Consider the following 10,652-nt stretch of genomic DNA (forward strand, 5'->3'; position numbering starts at 1 on the left):
CTCTCTTCTCCTTCTGTTACTCAAATATTGGTGCAATTTATAATGCCCCACATTTTTGCGAGGTTTTATTTTTTCTTTATTCTTTTTTCTGGTTTTTTTTTTTAAGGAAATTTCATTTTGTTGTTGTTGTTTTTTCAGACAGGGTCTCATTCTGTTCAACCAGGCTGGAGTACAGTGACACAATCTCGGCTCACTACAATCTCTGCCTCCTGCCAGGCTCTAGAGATCCTCCCACCTCAACCTCATGAGTGGCTGGGACTACAGGTGTGGGCCATGATGCCCAGGTAAATTTTGTATTTTTTGTATGTTTTGCCATGTTGTCCAGACTGGTCTCGAACTCCTAAACTTCATCAATGCACCCACCTGAGCCCCCCAAAGTGCTGGGATTACAGGCAAGAGCCACTGTACCCATCCTCTCTCTGCTCTTAAGACTGTATAATCTCTATTAATCTATATCAAATTTGCTGATTGTCTCTTTTGTCACCACAAACTATCATTGAGCACTTCAAGTGAATTTTTCATTTTGATTATGTATTTTTCAATTCCAGGATTTTCATCTGGTTATTTTTACAGTCTCTATATTGGCATTTCTATCAGATAAGATATAAACATCATACTTTAGTTTTTGAATGTGTTCTCATTTAAGTCTTTGAACATATTTTTAATAGCTGCTTTTAAAAAAATTAACAAAGTAGATCTTTTTATTTTTATTAATTGACAAATAAAAATTGTGTATATTTGTAATATACATCATGATATTTTAATATATGTCTACTGTGGAATGGCTAAATTAAGCTAATGAATATATCCATAATCTCACATACTTACCTTTTTATGGCAATGACATTTGAAATCTATTCTTTTAGCAATTTTCAAGTATACAAAACATTGTTATTAACTGTAGTCACTATATTGTTTAGCAGATATCCTGAACATATTTCTTTTGTATAACTGAAATTTTGTATCCTTTAAGCAACATTTCAGTCATTGGTAAGCACCATTCTACTATCCACCTCTATGAGATCAATTTTTATACACTCACACTTAAGTGAGATCATGTAGTATTTGTTTTTTGTGTGTCTGACTTATTTCATGTAACATAATGTCCTCCAGGTTCATTTATGTTGTGGCAATTGACAGGATTTCCTCCTTCTTTAAGGCTTAATAGTATTTCATTGTATGTATGTACTACATCACCTTTATCCATTCTTCCACTGTTGAACACTTAGGTTGACTCCAAATCTTGGCTCTTTTGAATAATGCTGCAATGAACATGGGTGTACAGATATTTCTCTGGAATACTAATTTCAATTCCTATGGATATATATATATACTCAGCAGGGGGTTGCTGAATCATATGATAGTTCTATTTTTAATCCAGTGGGATGCCTCCATACTGTTCTTCATAATGACCTTAATAAATTATATTCCCACCAAGAGTGGACAAGTGTTCTCTTTTTTCCATGCCCTCTCCAATACTTGTTCTCCAATGTCTTTATGATCATAGACATCCCAACAGATGTGAATTGATATCTCATCATGGTTTTAGTATGTACTTCCATGATGATTAGTGGTGTTGAGCATTTTTTCATAAACCTTTTGGCCACTTGTGTGTCTTCTTTTGAGAAATGTTTATTCAGGTACTTTGCCCATTTTTTAATTGGGTTATTTGTTTTTTGCTATGAGTTGAGTTTCTTCTTATATATTTTGGATATTAACTCCTTATTAGATGTGTGTGGTTTAAGAATATTTTCTCCCATTCTGTAGGTTGTCTCTTCAGTTCGTTGATTGTTTCCTTTGGTGGATAGAAGATTTTTAGTTTGACACAATTTTATTTGGTGATTCCCTGCTTCTCTTGACCATGCTTTTGGAATCATGTTGAAAAATATTGTTGTTCAGATGTCATGGAATTTTCCTCTGTTTACTTCTACATTTAAATGTAACATATGAACCTGTAAAACATATCCATTTTGAGTTGATTTTTGTGCATCGAGTGGTATAATGGTCTAATTTCATTCTTCTGCATGTGGATATCCAGTGTTCCCACCACAATTTATTGTCCTTTCTTCACTGTGTGTTCTTGGTGACCTTGTTGCAAATCTGATGACTACAAACTTGTGGATTTATTTGTCGGTGCTCTATTTTGTTCCACTGGTCTCTGTGTTTCTTTTTTCGGTCAGTACCATGTTCTTTTGATTACTATATCTCTATAGTAAGTTTTGAGATCAGGTAGTGTGATTCCTCCACCTTTACTCTTTTTATAAAAGATTGCTTTGGCTACTAAGGGTCTTTTGTAGTGCCATACAAATTTTAGGATTATTTTTTCTTTATCTCTGACAACTTACCTTCGAATTTTATTAAGGATTACACTGGATCTGTAGATCATTTTGGATTGTATGGACATTTAACCAATATTAATTCTTTCAATCCATGAACACATGATATCTTTGTATTTATTTCTTCTTCAGTTTATTAATTTTTAAAATAATTTCTACTTTTATTTTAGATTCAGGGGTAGATGTGCAGGTTTGCTATGTGGGTACATTGTGTGATGTTGAGGTTTGGGATATGATAGATCCTGTAACTCATGTAGTGAGCATAGTACCCAATAGTTAGATTTTCAACACTTGTCACTCTCCCTCCCTTCCTGATCTAGGAGCTCCCAGTGTACATTGTTGCCATCTTTATGTCCATGATTACCCAATGCTTAGCTCCCACTTATAAGTCAGGCCATGCAGAATTTTGTTTTCTTTTCCTGAATTAATTCACTTGGAATGCATCCATGTTCCACTCCAGCTGCATGTTCCACTCCACATTGCTTCGAAGAACATGATTTCATTCTTTTTTATGGCTGTGTGGTATTTAATAGTGTATGTGTACCACATTTTCTTTATCCAATCCACCATCTATGGGCACCTAGATTTATTCCATGTCTTTGCTAGTGTGAGTAGTGCTGCAATAAACATATGAATGTCTGTGTCTTTTTGGTAAAATAATTTATTATTACTATTGGATATATACCCAGAAGTGGAATTGCTGGGTTGAATGGTAGTTCTGTTGTAACTTCTTTAAGAAATCTCCAAACTGCTTTTCACAGGGACCAAACTGATTTACATTCCCACCAACTGTATAAACATTCCCTTTTCTCTACAGCCTCACCAACATCTGCTGTTTTTTAATGCTGGGTGATGCTGGTATCAGGCTTCATAGAATGATTTAGTAAGAAGTCCCTTCTTTATTTTCTGGAATAGTTTCAGTAGAATTGGTACCAGCTTCTCTTTGTACATCTCTACCAGACTTTGGCTTTGAATTCATTTGGTCTAGTGCTTTTATTAGTTGGTAGGTCTTTTATTACTGATTCAATTTTGAAACTCAGTATTGGTCTATACTGAAAACCTGCATTCAGTATAGGGTTTCCATTTCTTCTCATTCAATCTTGGAAGATCGTGTGTTTCCAGGAATTTATTCGTGTTTAGTTTGTGTGCATAGAGGTGTTCGTCATAGTTTCTGAGGTTCTTTTTTGTTTCCGTGGAATCAGTTGTAATGACACTTTTGTCATTCCTAATTGTGCTTATTTACATCTCTTTTTTTTTTCTTTGTTATCTAGCTAGCAGTTTATCAATCTCATTTATGCTTTCAAGAAACCAAGTTTTGGTTTCATTAATTCTTTGTATGGGTCTCAAATTCATTCAGTTCTGCTCTGATTTTAGTTATTTCTTTTCTTCCGTTAGCGTTGGAATTAGTTTGTTCTTGTTGTTCTAGTTCCTCTAGGCATGTTTTTAGATTGTTATTTTGAGATCTTTCTTTTTTGAAGTGCGTGTTTAGTGCTACAAACTTTTTTCTTAACTTTGCTTTTGCTGCATCACAGAGATTTTGGTAGGTTGTGTCTCCGTTTTTAGTCATTTCAAATCATTTTTTGATTTCTGCTGTAACTTTGTTCTTTACCCAAAAGTCATTCAGGAACAAGTTGAGTTTATTTATTTATTTATTTTTGAGACGGAGTCTCGCCCAGTCGCCCAGGCTGGAGTGCAGTGGTGCGATCTCGGCTCACTGCAAGCTCTGCCTCCTGCGTTCACACCATTCTCCTGCCTCAGCCTCCCAAGTAGCTGGGACTACAGGTGCCCGCCACCACGCCCGGCTAATTTTTATTTTGTATTTTTAGTAGACACGGGGGTTCACCGTGTTAGCCAGGATGGTCTTGATCTCCTGACCTCGTGATCTGCCCGTCTCAGCCTCCCAAAGAGGTTTTTTTTTTTTTGAAAGATCTCTTTGGTATTAATTTCTATTTTTATTCCACTGTGGTGTAAGAGTATAATTGGTATAATTTGATTTTTTTGAATTTGTTGAGGTTTGCTTTATGGCTGAGCATGCAGTCAATCTTACAGTCTATTCTGTGTGTAGAAGGGAAGAATGTACATTCTGTGCTTGATCAATGGAGAGCTCTGTAGATGTCTATTAGGTCTGATTGCTCAAGTGTCTAATTCAATCCCAAATATCTTTGTTGATTTTCTACCTTAATGATCTCTTTAATGCTCTCAACAGCGTGTTGAAGTCCCCTACTTTTATTGTGTGGCTATCTAACTATTTCCCTTGGTCTAGAAGTACTTGTTTTATGAATCTAGGTGCTCCAATGTAGGGCACATATATATTTAATATAATTAAGTCTTGTTGAATTGAACCCTTTATTATTTAGTACTATTCTTTGTCCTTTTTTACTGTTGTTGGTTTAAGGTCTTTTACCTGATGTCAAAATAGTGATTTCACTCTTTTTTCCAGCTGCATGATAGATCTTTCTTCAACTCTTTCCTTTGAACCAGTGGGTGTCATTACATGTGAGATGAATCTCTTGAAGAGAGCAGACAAAAGGGTCTTCTTTATCATAACCAACTTGCCACTCCGTGTCTTTTATGTGGGGTATGTAGACCATTTATATTCAATATTAATACTAATATGTGAGGTTTTGATCCTACCATGAAGTTGTTAGCTGGTTGCTTTGTAGCTTGTATTCTGCAGTCCCTTTATAAGGTTTGGGGGCTATATACTTAAATGTGTTTTTGTGGTAGTAGGTATCGTTCCTGTTTCCATGCCTAGGACTCCCTTAAGGATCTCTTATAAGCTTCCCCTAGTGGTAACAAATTCCCTTAACACTTGCTTGTCTGGAAACAATTACTTTTTTCTCCTTTACTTTCACAGCTTAACTTGGCAGTGTGTGAAATTGTTTATTGGAATTCCTTTTATTAGAGAATGCTGGAAATAGGCCCCCAATCTGTCCTGGCCTGTAAGGTTTCTGCCAAGAAGGCTGATGTTATCCTGATGGGGTTCACTTTGTATGTGATCTAGCTACCTTTAAGATTTTTTCTTTAGCATCAATATTAGACAGTCTGGTAACTATAGGCCTTGGTGATATTCTTTTTGTATAGTGTCTCACAGGTGTTCTCCTCTGGAAATTTTGTATCTAAATGTTTACCTCTCTAGCAAAATTAGGAAATTTTTTTGAATTATTCCCTCAAATATGTTTTCTAGGTTGTTTACTTTTCTCTTTCTCTCTTAGTAGTGCCAATAATTCATAGGTTTGGTCACTTTCCATAATCCCATATTTCTTGAATATTGTGTTCACTTTTTTAACTTTTTTTTCTTTGTTTTTATCTGACTGGGTTAGTTCAGAAGACCTTTCTTCAAGCTCTGAAATTCATTCTTCTGCCTGGTCTAGTCTATTGATAAAGTTTTTTGTTTGTTTGTTTGTTTGTCTGTTTGTTTTTTGAGAAAGGGTCTCATTCTGTTGCCCAGACTGGCATGCAGTGGCATGATCACAGCTCACTGCAGCCTTGACCGGATCTCCCTGACCTCCCAGGATCAGGTGATTCTGCCACCTTAGTCTCTCATGTAGCTGGGACCACAGGCATATGCCACCACTCTTAGCTAATTTTTTTTTTTTTTTTTTTTTTGGAGAGACAAGGTTTTGTCATGTTGCCAAGGCTAGTCTCAAACTCCTGAGTTCAAGCAGTACACCCATCTTCGACCTCCCATAGTGTTGAGATTATAAGCCACCACGCCTGGCCAATTGTATTTTGAAATTCCTTAAATGAGACTTTCAATTTCAGAAGCTCTGATTGGTTTCTTTTTTTAAAGATGTTTGTCTCTTCCTTCATCTTCTGGATTGCTTTAGAAGTTTCTTTGTGTTGATTTTCAACTTTGCACTGGATTTCATTGAGCTTCTTTGCAATCCATGCTTTGAGTTCCTTATCTCATTTCCAAGTTCCCATTTTGGTTAGGGACCATTGCTGGAGAGCTAGTGTGATCCTTTGCTGGTGTCACTGCATTAAGATTTTTCATGGTGCCAGAATTCATGTGCTGGTTCCTTCTCATCAGTAGATGCTGGCACTTCTAATTTTTGTAATTACTTTCCGGCAAGTATGATTTTTTTTTCCTTCTTTTCCAATAAAGTTTTTTTCTTTCCCTTTCCCTTTCCCCTCCTCTTTAGAGAGTGGGACTGTAGACAATGTTTGGCGGTGTCTTTTGGCTTTGCTTATATAGCCCTATACACTTGTCAGCTTTATATTGGTCTGTGCAGTTTAACCTACAAGCCAGTAGATGGAGCTTAGAGGTAAGAGCCAGCTGTGGCCAATAGAACTGGGTATATACTTGATCCTTGTTTACTGGGATAAGCTCTCTGTTGCCCCAGGCAATAAGCTGATCTGTGAAGTGTACAGTGGTCTGAGCTCCCTGCTCAGCCCTAGGGGTTGGGGGACAAGGTAGGTGCTGCCAGATCAGGCAGATCCACCTCAGGTCCCCATATGGCTAGCACAAGCACCAGTGCCAAGAGACAATCCAGTGGGTGGCCAGCAAGGACCCAGAGGTGTGCCTAGGTGTGAAGCTGAGAAACTGCTTCAGCCACAAGTTTTCTGCAAGGGGAAGGGAAGCAGCCTAAACTCCTAATCCAGCAGAGTGAGTGTTCCAGATGCCAGAAAATCTGCCTGGGCATGGTGTATAGTGAACCCCATTGCACCACAATCTCTGCACAACAAGGGTTGGGTGGCTCAGGCTGCTGTTCCCAGTGAACAGGTGTTCTGGCTGCCTGGAGATCTGCCTGGGTGTGGAGTGTAGACGGCCCAACTTCACCAAGATCTCTACACAAGATGGGTAGAGTAGCTGAAGCTGCTGATCTGGGCAAGCAGACTTGCCCGGACTTCCTGGAGATCTGCCTGGGCACAGAACATAGTGGACCCCCTGCACCAAGATCTCTGCACAGAAGGGGTGGAGAAACTCAGGCTGCTTGCCCAAGTAAGTAGATGGTCCAAAAGCCTGGAGTTCTGCCTGGGGATGGCGCAGAGAGGGCCCCGCTGTATGACAATCTTAGGGGAGCAGGCTGGGGTACTCATCAGTGATACACACAGACCAGTTCCAGGTTGTCAAACTAGCCCTGGCGGCTAGCATCTTTGCCTAGAAGAAACCATAGCTCTAGGAGCTTTCCTCCTATCCTAGGCCTGCAACTGGGGAGAGCACAGTTCCAGTGCCTATTGCTGAGGTACTTTCCCTCCAGTCTGGCTGTGGAGGTCCCTATTTTTCTCCAGAACAAACAGTCCAGCCTCTGGCTCAAGACTAAAATGCTTGTATGGCCATGCTGCTGGGTCACCGGAGAATGGCTGACTCTGTATGTGCCCCAGTTATAAATGGTATCCTATCTCAGTCTCAGGTATGGGAAAATGCCTGCAGTTTTCCCCAGTGTCTTTCCCTCTCAGTGTCTCCAAGCCTCTCCCCAGATTAGTTCCAGGGCTTGGAAGAAGCAAAGTGCTCTCCCTCAGTCTGGGTTGCTTGTATCCCCTGTGGAAAAGTGAGTCAGAGAGGGAGGCTCTTTGTCTCTGACATGTACTGTTGTGTTAATTTTGACGCTATGTTTATAAGTGCATGCAAGTTATTGATTGTTATATCTACTTTTCAGGTTGTTCCTTTAAATGTCACCTATAATACCACTTCCTTTTCATACTGTTTTTAACTGTGGTTTATTATTTCAAATTACAAATATTATCACATGGTTTATTTTGATTAATAAAGAAATAATAGAGCCTTTTTTAATCATTTAATTTTAGTCTTTTTCATAGTCTCTTTTTATACTTACCTTTTCTTGAAACTCCTTTAGTATTTTGACTGTATTAATTTCTATTAAATTATTTTCCTCTCTCCTGATTTAGAAGCTATACAATTTAGCTACATTTACTTATGGTAATATTTTTTAAAAGTATGCAGAGTTAACTATGAATTAATGTTACATGTATCTACCTCTCTTCTGAATATAATAAGAAACTATGACAGGGCCTAACCTGTTATTGAACAAACTCATTCATTATGTTAATATTACTACTAGATATTAAATTTCTATTTAAAGGTGTTTGCAATTTCTTAATTAGTTTTCTTATATTACAGTATACAGTTAATTAAATTTACTAATTTTTAATCAAATATCTTGGTTCCCTATTTTTGTTATCAGTTCTTACATTTAACAGCAATTATATTGAGTATCTCTAGTTGATAAAGTTCTTACTTTTGGATATGTTATGGGTCTTTTTTCATCCACATTGTATTGTTTTAAATATATATAAGTTATATAATGAAATGTGTACATTTTCAATTTGAGTTTGATCTTGCAAAATCTAAGATGCTTTAAAAGGCAATCTGTCTTGGTCTAAATGTCACAATCATAATATATGGCATAAAAGTCTAGAAATGGCTACAAAAATATTTTCTCAAGGATATACTGCTTATATTCTATGGCAATGGCAATTCTGATTTGAGCTATGGATTATCAATTGTAAGAATCTCCAAAGGAGAATCTTTTGGCTGATTTAAATAAATCTAAAGAGTATATGTATGAATATGAATGCAATATGTTTTCTACAGCAAATATCTAGAAAGTTTCTTGTTTTACCTCCAATATTGGATGGTAGTTTAGTTGAGTATTAAAATATGTAACACACACACACACACACACACACACACACACACACACACACATAAATTTGTAAGTTATTTCTCCTCAACCTGTTAAAGATTCTTTTTAATTGCCTTCTGGTTTAGTTCATTTTAAACTGCAATAAACTAATATTTTTTATAAATAAATCTCAATTTCTAAGTAGTAGCACTAGTCATATGTTGAGTACCCAACAGCCATATGTGGTTAGTGACACTAGCAATGAAGACAAAACATGTTTGTTAGTGCAGAAAATGCTATTAGACAATGTTTCCCTGGAAGCATTTAATATTTTTGATTTATTGTTGTTATTCTTTAGTTTCACTCTAAATATGTCTAGTGTGAACTTATCTTTGTCTCAGATTATCATGCAAAATGTTCTCAGTGATACATATCTTTAATTCATGGAAATTCTTGGAGCTTTTTTCAAAGAACATATATAAAAATGTCTTCATTTTCCTTTTTTGAGAACTCCAATTAGATATATGTTTGAGCTACTAAGTCTAAACTTCATATTCTATAAATGGCCTTTTTTCCTCTTTGTCACTCAGTAGTGAAATTCACTTAAGTAGTCAGTCTTCAACTCTATTCAGTTTATAGTTTACACTTCATATAGATTTCCAAAATTTTAAAATGCTATACTTTCTATTTTTCAAGAATTATAATATTTTTCTCTCCTAATCTGTTTTATTTCTGCCTGCTTTGTTTTTAAATGTCTTGTTTTTGCTTAATAAACTGTACCAGAATACCATACCCTGCATGGCTTATAAAAAACACAAATGTATTTCTCACAATTCTGAAGGCTGGGAAGTCTAGGATCAAGGCCCTTTAATGAGTGGTGAGGGCCCATATTCTGTTTTATAAATGACTGTCTTCCTGCTGTGTTCTTATATCAGGGAAGAGGCAAAGGGGCTGTCTAGTGTCTCTTTTATAAAAGCATTTATCTCATTCATGAGGGCTCCAACCTCATAGCTTAATTACCTCCCTAGTGTCCCACCTCTAAATGCCATCACATTGGGAATTAGGTTTAAATATATTAAATTTGGGGGTACATAAAAGTTTAGTCCATGGCAAGCATCCTAAGATTATAATTTTAAAGGCTTTGTCAGATTTTCAGAAAGGTAAATTTCACCAGAAGTTAACTGATTTTCCAACCTTTTACTTTCTCCCATGTCCTTGTTAAGATTACATGCATTTGTAGATTCCACATATATTTTAGATGTTTGGGTTTCATTCATTTTATGTAGGATTCTAAAAAATTATTTGTGTTTTTTATTAGAGTATTCAGCTATAACCACAATCCTATTCAGTAATAAAATGCCACAAACCTCAGTGGCTTAAAATAACAATTATTCACGGATCTACAGGTCAGAAGTTGGGGATCCAGAATCTAAAACGTGTTTGGGCTTGGCCCTATGCTTACATTTTTCTCCATGTCTACCTCACATTTCTTTCCTTTTCCTTGGACCAGCAGGTAGGACCACACATGTCCTCATGGAAATGATGGAAGCTCAAAGACAGTCCAACCTAACAAGAACAGTTCATACTCTATCTTATCTGCCAATATTTCATTGGCCTAAAGAAAATCACAAAGCCATGCCCTATATGTAGGTGGTGGGGAGGTGAGGAAATATATTTCTTAAATGTTGTGAGAAAGGTAGTAAATATTATTAAAGAATAATGTAGT

The sequence above is a fragment of the Homo sapiens genome, chromosome 14 (assembly GCF_000001405.40).
Source record: "Homo sapiens chromosome 14, GRCh38.p14 Primary Assembly".
NCBI lineage: Eukaryota > Metazoa > Chordata > Mammalia > Primates > Hominidae > Homo > Homo sapiens.